We start from the raw sequence: 26,749 nt of genomic DNA, 5'->3' as shown, positions 1-26,749 counted from the left end.
TTTTTGACATGCATTCATTCTCTACCTTATACATAAATTACATTTTTAACCTTTTGAAAAGTTAACTTTGGTGCCTTCTTATAAGAAAGGGAGGCATGAGGCCTATGGTTATGCATCGTGACTCTATTGTGACTTTTCCAGCATAATCCAGGCTGCAGGAGAAAGACAGCGTTGTGGAGTGAAATCCAGTTTCTCTTTCTTGCAGAAAAATGCAGCTGACCAGGTTGTAGTCAAGAACTAAGCTCACCTAACTGAATAGGAATGTCTGATTGTCAAAAGTCAATAACAACAGATGATTTAAGTCTTCTTAATGTCTTCACATACATTCTAGATGTATACAAAACCATTCTATTTATGATAAAAAATATGTAATTAAAAATTATATCTCAAAAAGCTTTCTAGGAACATTTTCAAGGCTCAGGTTTTCAAACCATGAAGCACCAGTAATTAGGAGGAAGAGTTAAAGGTTTATTTTAAAACTGCAGGGGAAACCAGAGTGATAACAATCTATGATTAATCTGTGATTAATAACGGTTGAAAATTTGTTAGAAGGTACCTGAACATATTTTGACATTTGTATTTCTTTAATGTTTTCTGTAAAGGAAATGTTGTTTATTATTGGTAAAGCAAAATTTGTTTCTGTTAATTTTGGACTGCTAATTTTTTTCTAAAAAATATAATTGAATGCCATTATGGCCTCTCCCGTACTGTTATCCACCTCTGAGAAAGCTTAACAATTTAGATCATGAAGTCCATAGGAAGAGAATATTGTTCCATTGTTGGCAACCATCAGCATTTCATAAATAGCTCCAAAACTGAAACTGCCTTTGCAAAATTATGACTCAGACAGTGAAAGAGATCTAACTTAATCGACTTCCTCTTGCTTCTAACCTCCAAGCTGTCCTTGTTTGTTCCTGGGCAAAGGCTGAACTAACTTTAGGAGAAACTTAGTTTGTAGTTTAAGACAAAGATGATAACAGCCCTTTCCCAAAGCAGATCTCCTTCTTGCCTGGGGACTAGATTGCCTTTGTAGAACTAACATTAGCCACAAGATTAGAAATTATGGTTTAGGAGTCATGCAGCTGGAGACTACAAGATTCTGACCCTCCCTAAGCTGCTCCTAAGATCAGTGCTTGAGATATTCTGCAGACCCGGCACTTGATGGATCAGCTGGCACCACCAAGATTGGTAAACTGACTCATCTGATCTTGTGGCCCCACCTGGAAACTGACTCAGCACAAGAAGAGAGCTTCGACTCCCTGTGATTTCATCCCTGGCCAATCAGCACTCCTGGCTCACTGGCTTCCTCCCACCCACCAAGTTGTCCTTAAAAACTCTGCTCCCCGAATGCTTGGGGAGACTGATTTGTCTTTTCTGACTGTGTTTTTTGCTTTTTAACATGCCTCGTAATTTTTTTGATGATACCCAGTTATGATGTATCAGGTACAAGGAACTGAGGTAGGAACTGGGACTTTCAGTTTTATGAAACTCTGGCTAGAAAGTGGCTGTTTGCTGTTTGCTTCTAGTTGGACATGTCAGAGGTTAAAATAATCTCTGATACTCTTATTTTTGTCTCTCCTATTGTCTTTGGGTTTCCTCTGGGACTTTTTCCTAAATAGGGTCTGAGGCTTGTAATTCTTTCAGCTGTAATCTCCTGCTGATGTGATGGGAAGGTGTCGGGGAGGGGAGGTGTTCTATCCCTTTAGGATTAGGCCTTGGCCTTTTAGTGAGCCTGTGCCCCCGGGTTGTCTTCTCAGCACCCCTTTGCCCTCCCTCTCCCCTTCAGGCAAGACAGGAAGGTGAGATGGGGCTGGAGTTGGGTATTTCCCTTCCCTCAGGTTGATTAGACTCTGGTAAAACCCAAAGGGGCTGGGCTCTGGTAAGGTAGTTTTCCTTGAGGGCAGGGTTTTGTTAAGGAGAACAGAATCTCTTGGGCATACAGTTGATTCTTGCTTAGGGGCACTGACACCCCCCTTCCCCCTGCACAGTCAAAAATTCAAGCATAAGTTTTGACTCCTCCACAACTTAACTACTAATAGCTTACTGTTGACTGGAAGCCTGAAGGATAACATAAACAGTTGATTAACAAATATTTTGTACATTATATGTATTATATGCTATATTCTTACAATAAAGTAAGATAGAGATGATAAAATATTAAGAAAATCACTGCTGGGTACAGTGGCTGACACCTGTGATCCCAGCACTTTGGGGGGCCAAGGCAGGTAGATTGCTAGATCCCAGGAGTTCAAGACCAGCTTGGGCAACATGGTGAAACCCTATCTCTGCAAAAAATACAAAAATTAGCTGTATGTGATGGTGTGTGCCTGTAGTCTCAGCTACTCAGGAGGCTGAGGCAGGAGGATTGATTGAGGCTGGGAGGTCAAGGCTGCAGTGAGCTGTGATCAGTGCCACTGTACTCCAGCCTGGGCAATAGAGAAAGACCCTGTCTCAAAAAAAAAATAATAATAATAGAAAGAAAACTGGGAGTGGATCATCATAAAAGTCTTCATCCTCTAAGTCTTCATGTTTAGCAGACCGAGGAGGGGGAACAGAATGGTGATATGGTTTGTGTCCCCACCCAAATCTCATCTCAAACTGTAATCCTCAGATGTTGGAGGAGGGGCCTGGTGGGAAGTGACTGGATCATGGGGGCAGATTTCCCCCTTGCTGTTCTCAGGATAGTGAGTGACTTCTCCTGAGATCTGGTGGTTTTTAAAGTGTGTCACTTCTCCCCTCACTCTTGGGAGATGTGCTTGCTTCCCCTTCACCTTCCGCCATGACTAAGTTTCCTAAGGCCTTCCAGCCATGCTTCTGTACAGCCTGCGCAACTGTGAGTCAATTAAACCTCTCTTCTTCATAAATTACCCAGTCTCAGGTAGTTCTTTATAACAGTATGAGAACGGGATAATAGAGAAGGGATGGTCTTACTGTCTCAGGGGTGGTAAAGGAGGAAGAAAATCTGTATATAAGTGGACCCTTGCAGTTCAAACCTGTGTTGTTCAAGGTCAACTGTATTTCAAATAGTTACTTTTTCCCCTCACCTGACTGAAGTGTGAGGGACTTTTCCCTGATCTTCACTAGAGAAACTCCTGGAAGTGAAACTCATGAAAATGTCCTCCCCACCCCAAGACTGAGTCTCCAGAGTTTTAACTCTCCTGCAAGTTCATGCTGAGTCTCCAGAAGTTTATCAACTGCAGTTCAAGTGCTCCTACCAGCACTGGCTCCAGCCTAGGGCTCCTGCTTCTGGACTTCTGTTCCTGCTAAGCTGTGATTATTGGTATCCTCTTCTTTTTCTAGCTTCTGGACCAGCAGCTTGCCCCGTGACGTCTGTTCTCTGATGAATGTAAGAGGGGTTGTTGGTTTTCATTTTGTTCAGCTTTTATCTTGTTTTGAGAATGGTGGTGGTGACTTCCAAGCCCTTATATGTGGAAGAAAGTAGGAAGCCCTTGTGGTTCTGTTAGCTCTACTGTCCTGGAAATCTGTGAAATGGATCGTGGGTCCTTCACACTTCGCAGCCCGAATGTTTGAATGGCTTCTTTCTTTGTAATGACATGTAAAATATGATATGAATGATACAAATTAACTTTTGTTCCCTCTGTTTTTTGGAACATTAGAAACAACCCCAAAGGCCATGATGCAAATGGCAAAACAGCTTATAGGAAATCACACACAATTTGTATGTGGCAGGTCCAGGATTCAAACCTGGTCAGTCTGACTCCAGAGTCCAGGCAGTTAATCAGAAAGTGTCCAGTCTCCTAAATATAGCTCAACTACCTTATCTTTTAGTTAGAGCTGGGAATATACATGTAGTGTTATCTTGCTCTGTTGTTGGTGATAATTTTGATCACTTGGTTAAGGTGGTTCTACCAGATTTCTCTAGTCATTGTTTTTTGAAATATTTATTCCCATATTTTATTATATATGTAGATGTATATATATACAGATACATATATATATATATATATTTTTCCTTCTGGCCCTCCTATTAAGATTCTATTGCTTCTACTTCTGCATCTTTAGTTCTTTCTTTGTAGTTTAAAGCTCTATTTTTCTCTGTTGCTTTATCAAATTATTAAAAATGTCTTCATCTGATCGTCCAATTTACTAATTTGTTCTTCAGTAGTAAGCATCCAACTATTTATCACATCTATTGTTTTTGTTACTTAAAATATTATTTTTATACATAAATTTCTAGTTGATTCTGTTTTCCTTGCTTCTTATTTTTGTATCATATTAGTAATATCATCACTTACAGGGCTAGCACACTGTACAACTCAAAGGTAGCATTCTCCAGGAATGCAGTGTGACTGGTGCCTCAGGAGTTGTGCAATGAGGTAGCTCTGAGTCCCTGATATCCTTAAGCATTTTTATCATGCTTATTTAAATTTCTTGGTCTACCTTTAGATGAAACATGTTGTTTCATCTGTTGTCTTTCTTTTATTGTTATACTTAGGGAAGTAGTTACTTTGGCTGAGGGTTTTTTTTTTTTCTTCCTTTGGAATTATCAACTACTCTTTCAGGTAATATATGTGGCTCTAGTCTGTATCAAGATATGTCATAATACAGTAGGAGTGTGGAGAGAAAGGGACTGGAAGGGTGATTTCCTCCTGTTTGGACACTACAGTATGAACATCACCATGGCCTAAGCTGTCCTCACCAATGTCTGTAGCGAAGGGTTAGACATGATGGTCCCAAGGCATTTAGAGAGAGAGGCAAGAATGGAACATGGAAAGCTGTTCTCCAACCTGTCCTCCCACTGTCTCTTCCAATGCACTCTGCCTCCTCAGACCTCTCTCATACACATTGATTCAAGACTAAGTTCAGTGTTTTCTCTTATTTTTTTTTTCCTTCTGTAGCACATGTTTCTATAATTTCTCCAGGGTTAATTTTGGGGGAGAGAGCCAGCACTTAGCTAAATATATCTAAGTTTGCCATCTTAGCGGGATAGAAACTAACTCATATATCTAGTTCAAGAAACCATTTGATAAGTTCCTAAGAAATTTATGTATAACATAAATAAAATGGACACAAATACTAAGATTTTTGTAGGCAGAATTTCAAAGATGTGCCCTCAAGATTTCTGTCCCCTTGTTATTCAATCAAACCCTAATCTAGGCACTGGTACGAAGGGGCTTTGCTGATGTAGTTAAGGTTACTAATCAGTTGACTTTACAATAGTGAGATTATCCTGGATTATTCAGGCTGGCCAAATGTCAGTGCATGAGCCCTTAAAAGCAGAAGAGGAAGGAGGAAGAGTAGGTTAGAGAGATACAGCAGGAAGAAGAGGTGAAGGGAGATTAGGTTAGAGAGATACGAAACATGAGAAAGACATGACCTACCAACATTGGCTTTGAAGATGGGTGAAGGGGGCTGTGAGCTAGGGAACCTGGTGGTCTTTTGAATGACTGGGAGCATGACTTCCAGCCAACAGCCAGCAAGGAAATGGAGACCTCAGTCCTACAATCACAAGGAACTGAATTCGACCAACAACCTGAATGAGCTTGAAACAGATTTATTTCCAGAGCCTCCAGATAAAAGCCCCTCTGGCTGACACCTTGGCTTTAGCTTTGTAATACCTGAAGCAGGAAAACCAGCTGAATTTACCCAGATTTCTGACCTACAGAATTGTGAGATAATACATTTATATTTTAAGCTGCTAAATTTGTGATAATTTGTTATAGCAGCTATAGAAAAGCAAAACAAAGATTTACATGTAATGGAGTGCCTTGGCTGAAATCTTACTTTGATATTTTTGAAACCTCCAGGTGAGTTGGAAAAAAAACCCCACAACCTAATGAAAAATGGTGTAATAGTGCAACAGGGCTTGCTCATCCCTGCCTCTCCCAGCACAAACAGAGGTGGCAGGCAGTCACAAAGATAGCTCAACAAAGATGAATGCACAATTAAGAATAACCAAACTTTGAGATGAGCCCCATGATAAAAGAGAAAAAACAAATTCAGCCAATATAGTCTTATCCCTAAAAAAGCAAAATTAATGAAGCAATCAGAATAGGACTTTTGATATATCTCATATAGCCAGAGAGGTAAGAGAAAGTATTGTGTTATGAAAATAGTATCAAGCGATTATGAAACAAGGACATTTCAGTAAGGAAAATATAGTCAGTTCTGCTATAAAGTGACATACGCACTCCTAAAAATCAAAGTACTATGTAAAATCGTGTAACAAAAACCACCAGGCCTATGGGGAAGAAGGGAATAGGGCACAACACTAAAAATGTTGACCCTTAAAAATGCTCCTATCTAAAAAAAGTTAGAACCCCAAGAAAAAAATGGTGACACAGTTTTACACATGCTAACTTGTTAAGAAATATATAAATACCACAACAAATATGGCACATTACTTTAAAAAAGACCTAAAGGTTGTGTGTAGAAGTGGGCATTGGAAAGGGTGTGAGTGGTGGAAGGAGGGTTATTTGAATTAGGATGGAAAGTTGTAACACCAGCTGTGGAAGGATGTGGCTCATAACACATGTGGTATACTAAGGTAGCTGGTTGATGTTTGAGAGAGCTGTGTGCACATGAATTTTGTGTATTACTATGTAGGTCAGTTGGGTGCATTTTTTTATGGTTCGGTTTCTGTATTTTGTGGACTAAATCTCACATCAGCACACAAATCACATTATGTCTAATTGGTCCTTAATATGTCAATTGTATCAGAACAAACTCACATTTTTAAAAAAGTGATAAAGCAGAATAATTGTAACTTAAACAAAACTCTTTAGTCAGTTAATTCAGGAGTTAAGAGTTAAAACAACAACAACAAACTATAGTTAGTAATTTGAGAGCTCAGACGATTTACAATTTTTAGATATTCATTGAAGGAATTCTTGGGGCTCCAATAAGAAGAATAATGAATCCAGGGGGAAATAGTGAGATACAGGAAACTATTGGTCAACAAAAACAACAACAAAAAACCCAAAACCCACAACATTTTTTTTATTAAATACGATTTTATTATTTATAAATTGAAAAAAATATTGAACCTAACACCTAACATCCCAGACCACATCACTATGAAAGTCACAGGAAATGGAGGTAATGGAGGAGGGCCAGGGAAGGTAGAATAAAAGTGAACTGATTCTCTTCTTGCCTGGAGGTTGGAAGTAGAGTAAGATAGAAATTAATTGACTGTAGGTTTTGTTATAAAATATTAAATTTAAGGATAACCTGAGAAAAATAGTAAAATAATGTAAACTTATCAATTAATAGTGAAAAAAAAGAACAAAGGAAAGCTAATTAAAAGCAGGAAAGAAGAGAATAAAAAAAGAAAGCACTCCCCACCTTTTTTTCCCAACATGGTGGATTGGAAGCTTTCAGCATGCCTCAGCCACTTGGAAATAGCAAGATGGTGCACAAAGATCAACTCTGTGAGTTTAATTCAAGAAGAAAAATGGAAATCCACCAGAATCATGAAGGACGCCCCAGATCCTGTGGAGGAGAATACTGGTAAACAGCCTCCATGATGGCATCCCACTGATTAAAGTTAGTGAAGCCCCCATGTGTGAGAGAGGCAGAGAACCTCCCTCTATGACTCACCTTTCCACCGGGGATCTCAGCAATCCAGGCTGAGGGAGAGCACTTTCATTCTTCCAAGCCCTGGAGCTAATGTGGGGACAGTGTTGTAGATGCTGAGGACAGACACCAGACAAAGCTATAGACATTTTTCCAGACCCAGGATCAAGAGCAGGACACCATTTTTAATCTGGAGGCATACAAAGTCAGCCATTATTTGGCGACCTAACAGCATAGTCATGCAGGAATTTTAGTCTTGGGCCGGAGATTGGAGCACCTCCTCTAGAGCAGGGTAGGAACCTCTACAGTCAGAACTGTGGAAAGCTCCTCAGCAGTAGGTTCTGGGATTGTGCTCTCTTCCAACACAAGTCTCCGGTGGGAGGAGAGCTTCTACAGCTGTAGTTTCTCCTGGGCAGTGAGACTTGTAGCTAGGGCCAGGTTGGTGACCACCTTGGTGGTCTGTGTGTGCCATTACTGTGTGCCCCAACTGCTCCTTTGAGATCATGGTGCAGTGGGGCCCTCTTTGCTTCACCCCTAGGCAGAAATCCAGGCACTCGGAGCACTTGCTTGTCTGGATCAGCCTGAGCCATATCCTTCATGGGCAGAAACCCTGGTACAAGGGGGCCCTCTCTGTTCCACACCCAGGCAGATCTCCAGGCATCTGGAGCACCTACTCTCCTGGATTAGGAATTTAGGCTGCCTCCATCTCTGTGCAGAGAACTTGGGGTCAAGGAAGTTTCCCAACTCCCTGCCTAGGCAAGCCTTTGGGCACTTGGCAACAGCTTACTGGATTCTCAGTTAGCACTGGTGCTTGTGCCTGCCATCAGGGACCGTAGGTGGACCTGCCTGGTCTGGCTTCACCAGTGTTGGCTCCCTACCCCCGCCCATGAAGGGGCTGAGCAGGGAGTCAGACCATTGTGCACTCCACAAATCAGCGCATTACCTGAGGCAACAGAGAAACTTCTCCCAGTAAACAAGGATCAAGTATATACCCAGTCATGTTGGCAGCAGCAGGCTCTTACCTATAAGTGCCATCTACAGCTTGTAGGTCAAACTGCATAGTCCAATATAAAACCTGCTGACAGAAGTGCATAGGGCTGTAGAAGCAAAGCCAAATGACCTCACCAAGCATTCTCTATAGTCACACCCACTAAAGAGTGGAGGGTGGGGGAGAAAGAAAGAAAAGAGTAGTAACAACAAAAAAATAACATTATGGGGGAAAAAAGAAAAAAAATCCTACCTTCATGAAAATAATTACAAAAATTAGAAGTGCCAGCATCTCTAGATAAGGAATCAATATAAAAATTCTGGCACCATCAAAAATCCGAATGTGGTGACACCACCAAAGGATCACACTAGCTTTCCAGCGATGGTCCCTAACTAAAATGGAAATGAAGAAATAGCTAATAAATTCAAAGCATGAATTACGAGGAAGCTCAATGAGATCCAAGACAAGGTTAATAATCAATATGAAGAAACTTCTAAAGCAATCCAGTAAATGATGGAAGAGGTAAACATCCTAAAAAGAAATCAGAGCTTCTGGAATTGAAAAACTCACTTAAGGAATTTCAAAATACAGTGGAAAGCTTTGTCAATAGACTGGACTGAGCAGAAGAATTTGAGAACTTGAAGACCGGTCTTTCAAATTAATTCAGTCAGACAAAAATAAAGAAAAAAGAATTTAAAAAAATGAACAATGTTCAAGAAATATGGGATTTTGTAAAGCAACCAAACATACAAATTATTGGCCTTCCTGAGAGAGAAGAAAAAGCAAACAACCTGGAAAACACATTTGAGGGAATAATTAAAGAAAAATTTTCTCATTTTGTTAGAGAGCTTGATATCCAGATACCAGAAATTCAGAGAAAACCTGCGAGGTACTATACAAAATGAACATCACCAAGGCATACTTGGTCACCCGACTGTCCAAAGACAATACTAAAGAAAAAAATCTTAAAGGCAGCTAGATAAAAAGGTTAGGTCACATACAAAAGGAATCCCATCAGGCTAACAGCAGACTTCTCAGCAGAAAGCTTACAAGCCAGGAGAGGTTGGGAACCTATATTCAGCATTCTTAAAGACCAGAAATTTCAAAAAAGAATTTCATATATTGTTAAACTAAGCTTCACAAGTGAAGGATAAATAAAATATTTTCCAGCAAGCCAGCCCTGAGGGAATTTGTTACCACTAGGTCAGCATCACAGAGGTCCTTAAGGGAGCTGTAAATGTGAAAATGAAAGAACGGGTGGGCCATGGTGGCTGGTGCCTATGATCCCAGCACTTTGGGAGGCCGAGGCGGATGAATCACTTGAGGTCAGGAATTCAAGACCAGCCTGGCCAACACAGTAAAACCTTGTTTCTACTAAAAATACAAAAATTAGCTGAGTGTGGTGGTGTGTGCCTCTAGTCCCAGCTACTTGAGGGCTGAAGCATGAGAATTGTTTCAACCCGTGAGGCAGAGGTTGCAGTGAGCTGAGATGGCACCACTGCACTTCAGCCTGGGTGACAGAGCAAGACTCTGTCTCAAAAAAAAAAAAAAAAAGGAAAAAGGAAAAAAAAGAAAATGAAAGAATGCTACCTGTTACCACAAAAACACACTTAGGTATGTAGCCCACAGACCCTAGAAAGCAACCACATGATAGAAACTACAAAGCAAGCCAGATAACAACTTCACAATAGGATCAAAACCTCAGATATCAATATTAACCTAGAATGTAAATGGTCTAAACGCCCCAGTTAAAAGGCATCAAGTGGCAAGTTGGATAAAAAACAAGACCATCCATCTGCTGTTTTCTTTTTCTTTTTTTTTTTTTTTTCCTAGATGGAGTCTTGCTCTGTTGCCCAGGCTGGAGTGCAGTGGCAAGAACTCGGCTCACTGCAACCTCCGCCTCCTGAGCTCAAGCAATTCTCCTACCTCAGCTTCCCGAGTAGCTGGGATTACAGGTGTGCACCACCATGCCTGGTTAATTTTTGTATTTTTAGTAGAGATGGGGTTTCACCATGTTGGCCAGGCTGCTTTCGAACTGGCTGGTCTCAAACTCCTGACTTCATGATCCGCCCACCTTGGCCTCCCAAAGTGCTGGGATTACAGGTGTGAGCCAACACACCCGGCCACCATCTGCTGTTTTCAACAGACTCATCTCACATGTAATGACACCCATAGGCTCCAAGTAAAGGATTGGAGAAAGGTCTACCATGCAAATGGAAAGCAAAAAAGAACAGGGGTTGCTATTCTTATATCAGATAAAACAGACTTTAAACCAACAACAGTAAAAAAGGACAAACAGAAGGTCATTACATAATGATGAAGCATTCAATTCAACAAGAAGACTTAGCTATCCTAAATATATATGCACCCAACATTGTTGTACCCAGATTCATAAAACAACTACTTCTAAACCTATGAAAAGACGTAGCCACACAATATTAGTGGGGGGGCTTCAACACCTCTCTGACAGTGTTAGAAAGATCATTGAGGGCTGGGCACAGTGGCTCACAGCTGTAATCCCAGCACTTTGGGAGGCCGAGGCGGGCGGATCACGAGGTCAGGAGATCAAGACCATTCTAGCTAACACAGTGAAACTCTGTCTCTACTAAAAATACAAAAATTAGCCGGGCGTGGTGGCAGGCACTTGTAGTCCCAGCTACTCGGGAGGCTGAAGCAGGAGAATGGCGTGAACCCAGGAGGCAGAACTTGCAGTGAGCGGAGATCTTGCCACTGCACTCTAGCCTGGGTGACAGAGCGAGACTCCGTCTTAAAAAAAAAAAAAAAAAGATCATTGAGGCAGAAAACTAACAAAGAAATTCTAGACTTATTAAATTTTACACTTGACCAATTGTACCTAATAGACATCTACAGAATACTTCACTCATAAACCACAGGATACATATTCTTCTCATCTGGGCACAGAATGTACTGCAAGATTGACCACACACTTGGCCATAAAGCAAGTCTAATCAATTCAAAAAAACTGAAACCATACCAATTGTACACTTGAACCACAGAGGAATAAAAATAGTTATCAATACCAAGAAGATTTCTCAAAAGCAGAATTACATGGAAATTAAACAACTTGCTAATATTTGACTTTTGGGTAAAAACAAAATTAAGGCAGAAATCAAAAAGTTATTTGAAATAAATGAAAACAGAGACACAGCATACCAAAATCTCTGGAATGCAGCAAAAGCAGTGTTAAGACGAAAGTTTATAGTGCTAAACGCCTACCTCAAAAAGTTAGCAATATCTCAAATTAATAACCTAACATCACACCAGAGGAGCTGGAAAGGTAAGAACAAACTAACCCCAAAGCTGGCAGAAGAAAAGAAATAACTAAAATCAGAGCACCACTGAATGAAATTGAGACCCCCCAAAATCCATCCAAAGAATCCATGAAACCAAAAATTGGTGTTTTGAAAGGATAAGCAAGATTGACAGACTGTTAGCCAAAGAATAAAAAAGAGAGAAGATCCAAATAAGTACAATTGGAAATGACAAAGGTGACATTACAACTGATCCCACAGAAATGTAAAAGATCCTCGGAGACTATTATGAACACCTCTGTGATCACAAAGTAGAAAATCTAGAGGCAATGGATTAATTCCCGCAAACATACAACCTTCTTCCCAGTTTCAGGAAGAAATTGAAACCCTGAACAAAATATTGAGTTCTGAAACTGAAGCAGTAATAAAAAAAAACCAAAGGAAAAAAAAAAAGCCCCAGACCACTTAGATTCACAGCCCAATTCCACCAGACATACAAAGAAAAGCTAGTTCCAATTCTACTGAAACTATTCCAAAAAAATTGAGGAGGAGGGACTCCTCCTTAACTCATTCTACAAAGCCAGCATCACCCTGATACCAAAACCTGGCAAAGACACAACAAAAAAAAGAAAGCTACAGGCCAATGTCCCTGATGAACATACATGGAAAAATCCTCAACAAAATACTGTAAACTGAATCCAACAACACATCAAAAAGTTAATTTATGCTGCTTAATGTCTTTAACTGGTGGGTGATTAAGGGTGGAAGTGGTCCGGATATTCTAAAATTTGCTAATTATTAGGAGAGAAATGACAGAAGGCACAGTAAGAGTTGCCTTTATGTTCTCTTATTCTGAAAATATATATCAAAGTCTCCCTGTGTGCTAGGCACTGTGGTAGGACTTCAAGTATGTTCTTCATTCACAGTAAAAACAACTTCCTGAAAAAAAGAGTTAATTCATTATGATCAAGTACGCTTCATTTCTGGGATGGAAGTTGGGTTCAACATAACGTAAATCAAGAAATGTGATTCACCACATAAACAAAATTGAAAATGAAAAATCCATGTGATCATCTCAATAGATGCACAAGAAGCTTTTGATAAAGTCCAACATCCCTTCATGATGGAAACCCTCAAGAAACTAGGTATTGAAGGAATATGCCTCAAAATAATAAGAGCTATCTATGACAAACCCACTGTCAGCATCATACTAAATGGGCAAAAACTGGAAGCATTTCCCTTGAGAACTGAAACAAATCAAGGATGCCCAGTCTCACCACTCCTATTCAACACAATACTGGAAGTGCTAGCCAGAGCAATCAGGCAAGAGAAAGAAGTAAAAAGCACCCAAATAGAAAGAAAGGCAAACTATCTCTCTTGGTAGATGATATGATCCTATACCTAGAAAACCCTAAAGACAGTACCAAAAGGCCCCTGGAACTGATAAACGACTTCAGCAAAGTTTCAGGATATAAAATCAATATACAAAAACTTGTCCCTTTTCTATACACCAATAACATTTAAGCTGAGAGCCAAATCAAGAACACAATCCCATTTACAATGGCCACAAAAAATAAAATACTTAGCAATACATCTAACCAAGGAGGTGGAAGATCTCTACAAGGAGAACTACAAAGCACTGCTAAAAGAAATCATAGATGACACAAACAAATAGAAAAACATCCATCCTCATGGATTAGAAGAATTAATATTGTTAAAATGGCCATAAGTGCCCAAAGCAGTTTACAAATTCAACACTATTCATATCAAACTACCGATGTCATTTTTCCACAAAACTCAAAGAAAACTAGTCTAAAATTAATATGGAACCAAAAAAGAGGCTGAATGGCCAAAGCAATCCTAAGCAAAAAGAACAAAGCCGGAGCTATCACATTACCCAGCTTTGTACTGAAAGGCTATAGTAACGAAAACAGAATGATACTGGTACAAAAACAGACACATACACCAATGGAACAGAATAGAGAACCTAGAAATAAAGTTGCACACCTACAGCCATCTGATCTTTGGCAGGTACAAAGACAAAAGATGGGGAGAGTACTCCCGGTTGAATAAATGGTGCTGGGGTAGCTGGCTATCCATGTACAGAAGATTCAGACTACACCCCTACTTTTCACTATATACAAAAATTAACTCAAGATGGATTAAAAATTTAAATGTAAGACCTCAAACTATAGGAATCCTAGAAGAAAACCTGGGAAACACCATTCTGGACATCAGCCTTGGGAAAGAATTTATAGCTGTGTCCTCAAAAGCAATTGCAACAAAGACAAAAATTGACAAGTGAGATATAATTAAACTAAACAGGTTCTGCAGAGCAAAAAAACTATCAACAGAGTAAATAGACAGCCTACAGAATGGGAGAAAATGTTTGCAAACTACATATCCCACAAAGGCCTAATATCCAGAATCTGTGAGTAACCTAAACAATTGAACAAGCAAAAAACAAAACCACATCAAAAAATGGGCAAAGAACTTGAATAGACACTTCTTAAGAGAAGACATACAAGCAGCCAGCAAACATGAAAAAACACTCCATATCACAAATCATCAGAGAAATGCAAATCAAAACCACAGTGAGATCCACTTCACACCAATCAGAATGGCTATGATTAAAAAGTCAAAAAACAACAGATGCTGATGAGGCTGTGGAGAAAAGGGAACACATAGACACTGTTGGTGGGAATGTAAATTAGTTCAGCCACTGTGAAAAGTAATTTGGAGATTTCTCAAAAACTTAAAACAGAACTACCATTTGATCCAGCAATCCCATTACTGGTTATATATCCAAAAGAAAACAAATCATTCTACCAAAGAGACACATGTACTGGTATGTTTGTTGCAGCACTATTCACAATAGCAAAGACATGAAACCAACCTAAGTGCCCATGAAAAAGGATGAAATCATGTCCTTTGCAGCAATATGGGTGCAGCTGGAGGCCATTATCCTAAGTTAATTCAAGAAGGAACAGAAAACCAAATACTATGTGTTTTCACTTATAAGTGGGAGCTAAACATTGGGTATGCAGGGACATAAAGATGGCAACAATAGAAACTGGGGACTACTGGAGGGGAATGGGAGTGAGTGGGGCAAGGGTTGAAAAAACTAACTCTTGGGTACTGTGCTCAGTACCTGGGTGACAGGATCACTCATACCCCAAACCTCAGCATCATGCAATATACCCAGGTGACAAACCTGCACATGTACTGGCTGAATCTAAAATAAAAGTTGGGACAAAAAAAATCACTTGCTATATGTAAAAAAAAAAAAAAAAAAAAAAAAAAAAAAAAGGTACTGAAAATAGGAAATGTAAAATAGGATTAGAAGGAGCAAGATCCTAGTAAATAACAAATCAATATATTTGTTAAAAAATATGAATGTGATAATTATGCCTATGAAAGGCAAAAAATCTCAGATAAATAAAAAATAAATTAACCATGTGACATTTAGAAATAATACTCTTAATGAAGATGACATAGGAAGACTGAAAATAAGGAGGAGAAAAATAATGAAAATATTACCAAAATGAAAAGCCACACAGATATATTGATATCAGATATAATTCAAAGCAAAAAGGGACAAGAAGGAATATTTCATACTGATGAGAGAGGCAATCTAACAAGAAGATATAACAATCATAAACATTTATGTACTCAATAACATAGCTTCAAAGTACAGAAAGGAAAAACTGATGGAACTACCAGGGGAAACTGACAAAGCCAATGAGAATATTTAACAGTGCTCTCAGAAACTGATAAATCATGCAAGCCAAACATCAGTGAGTATATAGAGAATTTAAGTAATACAGATAACAAGCCTGGTCAAATAAGATTCTCTGTACCCAGCAAACAGAGAATACACATTCTTATCAAATACAACAAAGTAGTTACAGATATTGACCACGTATTAGGCCACAAAAATAGTCATCAAATTCCAAAAATTGATATCATATAGCCCGTATGGCCTGAACTCAGGAGGGAAGGCTGAGTACATGGGTACAGCTGTAATAAAAGTAGTTTGCAGGTGTTGTATTTTTTAAATTTTAAAAATCTATTTTATATTTTATTTTAAATTGACTTACAGTAAAATTCACTGTTTGTGACGTGCAGTTGTGTAGGTTTTGACAGTGATGTACCCACCATCACAGTCATGCTACAGAACAATTCCATCACTCCAAAAACTCTATCATGCTATCCCTTTGATGTCATCCTGTTCCCCAACTCCAATCCCTGGTAACCATTGATCTAAGCGCCTATCTAATAGTTTTGCCTTTTCCAGGATATCATATCAAGAAAATCATAAAATATGTGGCCTTTTAGATCTGACTTTTTTAACTAAATGCATTTGAGATTGCCTGTTGTTGCAAGAATAATCTGTTCTTTGTATTGCTGAGTAGCATTTTATGAAATAGATGTACCATAGTTTTGTTTATGAAAGACATCTTGGTTGCTTCCAGTTTTTAGTGATCATGGATAAAACGAATACAAACATTTACCTATAGGTTCTCGTGTTAACATACATTTCCATTTCTCTTAGGATACTTCAGAGTGGGATTGTTGAGTCATATAGTAAGTGTATGCTTAACTTTATAAAAAAACTATACAAAACCAGACTGATATCCAGGTGTGGTACCATTTTGCATTCTCACTGGTAATGTATGATTTCCAGTTGTTCTGCATCCTCGTCAGCACTAGCTGTCATTTATTTCCATAGCCATTCTAGTAGGTGTGTAGTGATATCTCGTGATTTTAATTTGCATTTCCCTGATGATTATACTGAATATCTTTTCATTTGCTTATTTGCCATTCATATATTTCCATGGTGAAGAGTACATTCAGGTTTTTTGCCCATTAAAAAAAAATAAACTTTAGGTGTTCTCTTATTGTTGAGTTCTGAGAGAGCTCTTTTTTGGGGTACAAGTCCTCTGCTAGAAATGGATGTTTTACTCTGATGGCTGCAATTTTCTCAGAGCAGTATGAAGCAAGAGTGAGGATGAGGTGGGAAGTGTAGGAAGTTTAAGGAGTAAGAAAAAAATATAAAATAGCCTTCTGAGGCAGAAGGGAAGTGAACAGATTAGGGATGCACGCTATGATTGCCTGGTGGCATTAGGGCCCTCTTGAGCCTTGTGTTGGTATAGTTAAGCTGGGACCAGTCACCATGGGCATTTTTTTTTTCCAGCCATGATTAGTTGCATGAGTGGAGGGATGAAATAGGTAGAGGAATGGTTTTATCTAGGGCTTTAGTTTTGCCAAGTACGTATAAGAAAACAGAAGTGGAGGAAGGGAGTTGAAAGGACATGAAAGGAATAAATTACGGTGACTGACCATAGAATCTAAGTGGAGTCAGAATGGAAGAGAACAAGGATGAGGGACAGTGAAAAGGGGTTAGGATCAATAGACTGGAGGTTCCAGCATAGCCAAAGGATTGTGGGGGTTGGGCACAAGAGGGAGGGAAACGGGGAGGCAGAAGACAGTTGTCTGAGGGAAAATGCTTGCTGTCCAGGAAATGTCAAGGTTGCAGTTCCCAGTAATGACTGGGGCATGGTCATAGATATGAGTGTGCCTGAGTTGGGTGGGAAATTCCAATGGGAAAAAAAAATCTCAGAAAGAAGACAGCTCAAGAAACCGTGAGGCCAGAGTCACTGTAGTAGTGAAGAGAGTGGCAGTGAGCCAAGAGCTAAGTTAAGGGGAGTGACCTCGAGGTCAGTAGGTGACAGTGGCAATAGATGAAGTGATGATATGAAAGTCAAAACTTTTTTTTTTTTTTTTGAGATGGAGTTTCACTCTTGTTGCCCAGGCTGGAGTGCAATGGCACGATCTCGGCTCACTGCAACCTCCACCTCCTGGGTTCAAGCGATTCTCCTGTCTCAGCCTCCCGAATAGCTGGGATTACAGGCATGTGCTACCATGCCTGGCTAATTTTGTATTTTTAGTAGAGACAGGGTTTCTCCATGTTGGTCAGGCTGGTCTCGAACTCCCGAACTCAGGTGATCTGCCCACCTTGGCCTCCCAAAGTGCTGGGATTACAGGCGTGAGCCACCGTGCCCAGCCAAAACTTTTTTTTTTTTTTTTTTTAATGGAAGAGGAAGAGAGAATGATTTAGAAGCTGCTATGAAAAGGAGGAAAGCAGCTACCCTACCTCTAGGAGCACTGAATGGATGTGAGAAGAAGCTGAGCTTGGATCAAGTGATGTGGTCAGGAGAGGAAGGGAAGCTACTAGGACCTCAGAAAGTTGGCCTGGGATTGGAATCCTGGAGGGGAAAGGGTTGGCTTCTGGCTACAGAGGGACATACAGAGAGGTGTTTTTTGAAGGGCTCCATGGATTTATCTGGAACTGTGCTGCTCAACGCAGCAGCCACTAGCCACATGTGGCTAACTTAAATTTAAACTCATTAAAATAAAAAGTAAATAAGTAAAAGTAAAATTCAGTTCCCCCGTCATAGTAGCCACAGTACAATGCTCAGTAGCCATAGTAGTGGTTCGTGGCTCTTGTACTGGACGGTGCAGATGTAGAATATTTCCATCATTGCCAAACATTCCGATAGCCACAGTGACATTAGGGCCATGGGCTCTGAGAGTGGCCGCACCATGTCTTCTCTCATCCCTGGACCTTTCTGTGGAAATATGAAAGCAACCACAGTGCTCAGCCATGCTGTCAGGAATTAAGAGAAGGGAATGTATTGAGTTTAGGAAGAAATGAAAAGGGAAGGGCAGCGGCTCCTCCCTTGGCGGTGGCCGCCATCTTGGAGCTGCGGGAAGGGAGCTGTGGTCAAAGCGAACCGGCTGAGAAGGAAGCTGAAGAGATGGAGTGGAGGTCAGATTTCTGAGCCTCCTGGAGGCTGCACCTTCAGATGATCAGATATGTGGCAGGAGTGGGAAAGGGACACAGAAAGAAGGAGGATCCGTTTCTCTAATCCAGTGAGTGGGTATTAAACTGTGGCATCATTTTATGCCCAAAGCTGGTAAGGCCTGAGTGTGCTGGTAACATAGATAGAAAAGTCATTTGTATTCATTTCTGTAGAATGTATTTATCTTTGGCTGCTCCCTAGGTGCATTCTTCTTAAGGGGTCATGTGGGTATTGTGTGTGGTAAATAATCAGTGCTGCTTGAACATTTATGCCTCTTCCTCTCTGTCTTGTGTGTGAAGGGCCACATCTGACACACTGACCTCAGGGATAAGTCGCTGCCATGTGATTTTAACCCCCATATACGAAATTTGACAATGTAGAGGCATAGAATAGAATCATGCTTAGTTTTTGAGAGCGTGTAATCATTGAAGCATAACATTATTTACTTTCACCCCCCCCCAAAGGAAACCTCTCTGAAAATTAAATGACTAGTTTTACGTTTTTAAAGTGTATATAATTGGTAAAATGGTCTCATTTCTTGCTTCCCCCAATTCAAAAGGGACAAAGTGATATGTTCGTAAGTAAATAATTTTTTCTTTTTTTTTTTAGTGATGATCTGGAGACTTTAATATGGGATTTATGATGGCTAAAGAGCATTACCTACCCAAGAGGAACCTTTAATCCAGGGAGGAAGTTATGAGTTTTTGGTTCATTTTGTGGTCAACCTCATTCCTTCTAGTTTTGTCTATGGCCTAGGCGAGAGAAAATAATTGGAAATGCTATGATGAAAATAATAGAACGATTCCTCTTGTTGCTATGGTGACAAGAATAAATTGAATCCATTGCTCTGAAAAATTGCCCGAAAGTGTACTTTAGCATTCCACGGTGGGTTTATTTGTTGAGAATTTTAATCTGTCAGCTTCCATCAAAATGGTGCAGCACTCAGAGAAATATTTCCCATCTATACTTTTAGCTGGTTTTTGTTATTTGTTTTATTTTTTAAAATGTTATAGATTTGGGGGTACTTGCGCAGGTTTGCTGCATGGGTATATTACATAATGGTGAGGGTTAGGCTTCTAGTCTACCCATCAGCCAATTATTGTAAAAGAAAGCAACCGTCATTATATTGAAAATTTAAATAATTTTCTAAAAGCATCTTGCCAGGTACAAATCTAAAAGCAGATTATAGTTTTATGTCCACCATCATGGAAAATGTCATTGTCAGCACCAGCCGAGCTTTGGATGATTTTTCAGGTCATTGACGATCATTAGTATGATACGGGACTCCAAAGATCTGGTTGAGAAACCAAAGGATGTGGATTCCCAATCTCATTCAGTGTAAAACAGTCATATAGGCTTACAAGAAGAAATAAGCCCTAGTGCCTCGGTTTTTCTGTTTAATTTTTGATAATGAGCATTTTAATAATAGTGATAGTTAGCATGTACCAGATGCACCAAGCATTTTGTGGATGTTGTCCATGCTCTTGACAGCAACTCTTAACATGTAAGTATTATCATCTATAGTTTGCAGATAGAAGAAACTGAAACTCAGAGAGGTAAAGCAACTTGATCAAGGTCACACAGCAAAGTGGAGAGCTGGGATTTAAGCCCGGCTGCATCTTGGCTCTAGACTCCGTGCCTCCCGATGGTGCTGGTTGCTCCTAACTTGCAGTAACACTATTGGCTTCAAAATATCTGAGCATCTATCCTGAGCAGTATATGCAAAAGAGTTAACGCTGGCCTGAAAGGCCTTTGCCAGGGTTGGGAGGGAAGCGTGTATCTAGCACTCTGTTTGTTTATTTTTTTTCTGAGCCAGGGTCTCCCTCTGTTGCCCAGGCTGGAGTGCAGTGGCATAATCTCTGCTCACTGCAATCTCCACCTCCCTGGTTCAAGCAATTCTCCTGCCTCAGCCTCCCAAGTAGCCGGGACTACAGGTGTGCACCACCATGACTGGCTAACTTTTTTGTATTTTTAGTAGAGGTGGGGTTTCGTCGTGTTGGCCAGGCTGGTCTTGAACTCTTGACCTCAAGTGATCCACCCACCTCAGCCTCCCAAAGTCCTGGGATTACAGGCATGAGCCACTGCGTCTGGCTGCACTCTGGTTTTGATCATTTATTTTGCTGTCTTTAGGATTTTGTTTTCTCATTTTAAAAACAGTTGATCTTCTGTGAAGAAAAACTTTTGGTTAAGAACCAAGAACCTGTTTCTACCTTGTGTTTCTAAGAAGTACCCTTCCCGTGGTGTCTTCCCAAGCAGCCAGGAGACAGGTGGCTCTTCTGTTGCCTTCTGAAGTCAAACCCCTGAATGAACGCAGAGAATCTCTGAGTACCCACAAATCCTGATTCAAAATCCTGATTCATATGCACCTAATGTGATCCTGAGGCCTGATTCATATGGCATGAATACTCTGTGTGTGTATTGCTGAATATGGTTAAACCTTCCTCTCCTTCCTCCCCTTATTTCTCCAGGGAACTGACTTCTTCCTCCTCATGGTCCACTTGAAATTCCAGGAAAAGGAACAGATGTGCAAGGAATTGCAGCCTGGAGAAACATAGTGTATTTGGAGACTTGCATGTAAATGGATAAGTAGGTGTAGGAGGAGAAGCTGGGTCACATTTTCCTAAATTTTATTCCACAAAACACTAGTTCTGTGAGACGCTCTATGGAAATTGGTCCCATGATCAGTACATTTGGGGCATGCTGCATGTTGTATTCCCTGTTGTCTTATATTGGATTTCCTAAAAATAGACTCTGAGGTGGAGACTTATGTGCAGAAGGTCTCTTGGCGAATGCTCCAGGGAGGCGTGCGTGTAAGGAAGTGAGACAGACCCACCTCAGGCCCCTGGGACTTCCACTGGCCAGACGCCCTGTGCCTACTTGTGTCATGGGATACAGGGCCCATCTCTTCCCATCTCCACACTCTGACCACACGCTAGTAGCTTGAAATCAGCCATGGTGCAACTATTGGCATCACAAAAATGGACAAATGCTTCAAACTGGGGCCTGACTTATTGTTTTGTTGATTGCCAGGCTTAAAAAGTGATGGAAAGGATGCTAATAATGCATATTAAACCAAAAAAGTGCGTCATGTCTGTAGCTGTGACATTGTGAATAGCACAAGCATTGAGGTTACATGCTTCTGATATTTGAAAACCCTTATTGGATTCAACAAAGAATTCACTCATGTCATTGTCTATCAGGTGAAGCTCTGATGCACATTTTTTGCTTTCACTTTTGCCTTATTCATTAATATAAACAGAATGTCAATCAACCTTCATGTTGTGTCTACGCTCAATCATCCCTGATGACCCTACGCTGACTACAGATGCAGAATTCAGCAAAAACCAATGAAAGCATTCGGTGAGAATCAATGGCTATATGGAGCTTACAATAAACCGTATTGTGTATTTTATTATTACGTATACGTTGTGTGTTACATATCTGTTATATCAGCACAATTTATAGTAAAATCATGTAGTTGGTGAACATTTACCAGCATATCACTGGGGCTGGTGGAGTTTGGGTGGGAGCATCTGAGATTGCCGTTGGAGAATGCTGCAGCCAAAGTCTACTGGCAAAGACATCCCGTGCCTCTCAGGACTGGCAGTAGCCCACTGTAGACATGGCCTCAGTGTACACATAGACACGTTTCGGAACATGGGGCCCTGGGTCACTCATGCTCCCTGTAGTTGGAATTCTACCAGGCACATTCCATGGCCTCCACACTGATACCTGATGTGGTTGGAGCTGAGGTCTCAGACTATCCTCCAGAGAGCGTTAGGGCTGGGATGGCCTTTCAGAGTGGTCCCAAATTGAGGCAAGAGGGCCAGGCCTTTAGATCACCAGTCACTTATACCCAAGGCACATCCTTGGTTAAGACAGTGCTCTGTGGCTGAGGACAAATCCCAGTGAGAGCCAGAGCTCTAGGTGGTGGCCTGTGAATGGTCAGTGGCCAATATTCCCAGAAGCTGGAGGATAGGTTTGTCTACCCTGAAGAGGAAAGTTGGCTGGAGCACTGCAGTGTTTATTAGACTCTCTTGGAAATTCATAATGTTTATTAGCATTTAAAAGGTTCTGAAGAATCCTGCACTTAACTTTGTCCTGCTAGCACTTGCTCAATTTATTTCACCAAGAAACCATTTTGTGTGTCTGTGTCTGTAACATCCCTTTGAATTAGTATTCTACAGAACACATTCGGGAGAAGCTGGGCCAGAGAGAAAGGCAAGGTCAGATCGTAAAGGGCCGAGCCTGCCTGGCTGGGCAGTTTTGATTTTATGCTGCGGGCACTGGGGAGCTGTTCTGATTTGACTTGCATTTTGGGGAAAGCACTTTGGAAGTGTGTGTAGGATTGATTGGTATGGGAGAGATGGAGGAGCAAGTGTATTTAAGAGGCTGCCACATCTTCCAAGGGAGAGATGATATGGGCCTGGATTTGGATGGCAGAGAGAAGAGGCAAATCAGAGGAATGTTTAAGAGAGAGAATCAATAGTGTTTAGTGATAGGTTATTTTCCCATTACCCTGTAATGTAGCTCAGTGTTATTTACATCTTCTCATTTCCAAACGGGTTTCCTTCCCTTCCCTTCCCTTCCCTTCCCTTCCCCTTCCTTCCTTCCTTCCCCTTCCTTCCTTCCTTCCTTTCCTTCCTTCCTTCCTTCCTTCCTTCCTTCCTTCCTTCCTTCCCTTCCTTCCCTTCCCTCCCTTCCTTCCTTTCCTTCCTTTCTTTCCTTTCGTTTCCTTCCTTTCCTTCCTTCCTTTTCCTTTAATTATCTTCTCCTTCTATTACATATGTATCCCTGAAATGGTGTATTTAACAACTTCACCTACAGAATAGCTTTTGTATACTCATCTTTCCAGGCTCCAGTTGGTTTGCATCCATTCATCCTCTTGTGTTCTGGGATGAAAAAAATGGGGATGAACTGGGCAGTATCCTGTGACCATTTCACAGTTGTTGTTTTGGAATGTAGTGTTCCGACGGCTTTTCCAATGTGTCCGAAATTGCTTTAAGTCTGTAGTACAATAAGTAGGAAATGAGGGGGATGCAAACATAATCTCACGCATTTAACACAGGATTGATTTGTTCCTGTACACCTCAGTTTTTATTACTATTGGAAGAATATGATTTCTTTTTAAGAAGCTGATCTCTTTTTATCAGCTCTAGAGGAAGGAGGGTTAACTTAGTTTCTAGACACTGTCTACCCTTCTTTCTCACTTCGTGTTATTTTATTGGCAAATGTATCTCTATTTAGGTTATTTTAAAACATGGAATCAACTCTGATGCTCTTTTTCTTTATACTTTTCCCAGGAAAAGAAGTTTAAATCAATAACTGAAATAAGTTTTCATGGTACCCAGAGATTTCACTTCCTGATAGCCTGCCTCATGTGAATTAACGTGTACAATGGAAGGTAGTTCTAGTGGAGATAATGAATTCCTCTCCAGAAAGGGAGCTTTCCCTCTTTTGGGGTACTGAGGGCACTCACGGAAAATAAAGGACCAGGGTTTTTTCTTCACCTCTAGAATTTTAATTATTTTAATTTAATTTATTTATTTATTTTGAGACAGAGTTTTGCTCTTGTCACCCAGGCTGGAGTGCAATGGCGCGATCTCACCTCACTGCGACCTCTGCCTCCCAGATTCAAGTGATTCTCCTGCCTTAGCCTCCCCCAGTAGCTGGGATAACAGGCGTGTGCCACCACACCCAGCTAATTTTTGTATTTTTAGTAGAGACAGGGTTTCACCATGTTGGCTAGGCTGTCCTTGAACTGCTGACCTCAGGTGATCCACCTACCTCGGCCTTGCAAGGTGCTGGGATTATAGGTGCGAGCCACCATGCCCGGCCACGGTAAATTTAAAAATTCAGTAGAATTTTAAAATAGTTGGACCAGAGAGGAAGCATGTTTTCAAACATGCCAAGGGAATCCATTTTGGATTTTTAATTTGGGGAATTTTCTCAGATCTGGAAAAGTTATTGTAAATCAAGGTTGAAGTAAAGTTGGTTTACATATTTTACGTATTTGCCTTTTGGAAAACACAATTTAGGACTTTAGGTCCATGTCTTTGTTTTCATACTGACAAAGAGGCTGTTTCTGAGACCTCAGTCCCCCACACATTGCAGGGGTATTGCTGGGCTCTCTTTCTCTGCGTTGTGAAAGGCCTCTTCAGGGAGCATGGAGAGCTGTGTTCTGCCTCCCTGCGCATTAGATGAGCGCCTAGAGGGTGCTGGCAGTGAGCTGCTGCGGAGCCTGACATGGGTTGCCTTTCTCCAGGCACAGCAGGCAGACTCCAAGCTATTTCTTACCCTGGCTGGGCCTTGAAAAAGCCCAGCCAGCCGCTGAAAAACTGAGCTGAGACATCGCTAGAGAGGCTGTGCGTGAGCAGCCAAAGGCTATTTGCTGAGCAGAAGCTTCTGGACGCTGACCAGCTGGACGTTGACCACACAGAACAGGAGTGGTCATTAGGCTCCTCAGCCTCCCTGGACCAATCAGCTCTGATGACAAGCGGGCAGGAGGCAGCTTGTGGGAACTGAGAACTGCTGAGATGATGCTGAGAACTGCTGAAGAAGAAGGGACAATAGAAACCCTTGCCCATGATTGTGTCTCCAGAGAGCATCCCAGACGCTGTCTGGAGCCCCAGAATTCTAGGTTTGGTTACCAGCACCATGGATGCAGTGGTCACAGGACTTCTATTCATCTGTATTGCCCCAGTAGGAAAACTAAGCTTGGCCCTGGCTGCACCCTGCAACCTCAGCACTCAGGAATCTGCTGCTCTGAGCTGAGTCACCAGACTTGGTACTCGAGACGTGAATCCTTTTGGGACAGGATTCCTAAATAGGGATCTTCTTTTAGGAGTTCCAGAACAGTTATTTGTAACACATAGAATGGACAAAAGATTAGAATCCAGAATACGTAAAAAAGATTCTTACCAATCTTTAAGAAAAAAATTTTTTTAAATAAATGAAAAAATCAATCACTAAAAAAAAGACATTTAAAAATAGGCAAAAGACATGAATGAACATTTCACAGAAGAAAAAACATAAATGGCCAATAAGTTTATGAAAAAATGTTCCACCTCATTAGCAAGTGGGAAAATATAAATTTTAAAGCCACTGGCCTGGTGAGATGACTCACGCCTCTGATCCCAGCGCTTTGGGAGGCCGAGGTGGGAGGATCGCTTGAGGCCCGGAAATGAAGGTTGCAGTGAGCTATGGACACACCACTGCACTCCAGCCTGGGTGGCAGAGCAAGACCCTGTCTCAAACAATAAAATAAAACCCACTAAGGGATATCAATTTACACTCAATTGGCAAAAAATAAAGTAAAATAATATAAAGTGTTGCTGAGGCTGTGAAGCAGAGGCCTCTCCCACAATGCTGTTAGGAGCATGAATAGGCACAACTGCATCAGAAGACAATTTTGCATCAATTAACAAAGTTGAATCTTCTAGCACCTCTGCAATTACACTGAGGAACATATTACAAGGACTATAATTGGCAGGAGTATGTATAGTATCCTTAGTTATAAGAGTAAAAATATAAAACAATGCAATATGTTCATTAACAGTGGTGGATAGGTACATTTTGGCGTATTCATACGGCAGAATACTATGCGCAGTGAAAATGGAGAAAGTATAGTTCCAAGAATCAATACTGGTGAATCTTAAAAACAAAAACAAAAAAACAAGTCATAGAAGAATGCATCCAGTGTGGTTCAATTTACATAAAGGCGAACAACAGACAAAAGTCAATAATGTATTGCTTAGAGATACGGGGTAGAATTGAAAGAAAAGTAAAAGATTAAATAACATGAAAATCAAGATAGTGGCTACCTATGGTGGAAGATGGAGAGTGAGGGGGTGTAATGGACATGCGTATGAAGAGAGTGTCCCCGTCATTGATGGATGGTGGTCCATTACCTAAGCTGGGTAGTGGCCACGTAGGTGTTTGCTTTATTATTATTTAAATTATATATTAGACTATTCGTCATTTAAACTATATATGTGTATATACAATTACTCTGCATGATATAGTTTATAATTTTTAAAGAAAAGGGAAGAAGAAGGAAGAGGAGGAGGAAGAGAGGAAGTTGATGA

General features: G+C 40.7%; 1 long non-coding RNA gene across 1 annotated transcript in view, besides 2 other annotated features; it reads left to right on the top strand.

Annotated features, from left to right (window-relative positions):
• LOC124901766 (uncharacterized) overlaps positions 1 to 22,050 on the top strand; it is a 28,671-nt gene extending 6,621 nt beyond the window's left edge. Inside the window, exon 3 of the long non-coding RNA XR_007060577.1 lies at positions 21,131 to 22,050. This is a non-coding gene — a long non-coding RNA (uncharacterized LOC124901766). The remainder of the gene's footprint in view (positions 1 to 21,130) is intronic.
• Positions 1,078 to 1,217: an enhancer, noted in NCBI's record as "active region_26799". NCBI's record gives its function as "activates an Ori minimal core promoter by ATAC-STARR-seq in GM12878 lymphoblastoid cells {active_cell/tissue: GM12878}" and the evidence as "EXISTENCE:reporter gene assay evidence [ECO:0000049][PMID:35858748]".
• Positions 25,287 to 25,487: a silencer, noted in NCBI's record as "peak6830 fragment used in MPRA reporter construct". NCBI's record gives its function as "represses an SCP1 promoter by STARR-seq MPRAs in K562 erythroleukemia cells {active_cell/tissue: K562}" and the evidence as "EXISTENCE:reporter gene assay evidence [ECO:0000049][PMID:32103011]".

Source organism: Homo sapiens, chromosome 7 (assembly GCF_000001405.40).
Source record: "Homo sapiens chromosome 7, GRCh38.p14 Primary Assembly".
NCBI classification, from domain to species: Eukaryota; Metazoa; Chordata; class Mammalia; order Primates; family Hominidae; genus Homo; species Homo sapiens.
The sequence above is the reverse complement of the archived record's forward strand: the minus strand, read 5'-3'. Positions and strand labels throughout refer to the sequence as shown.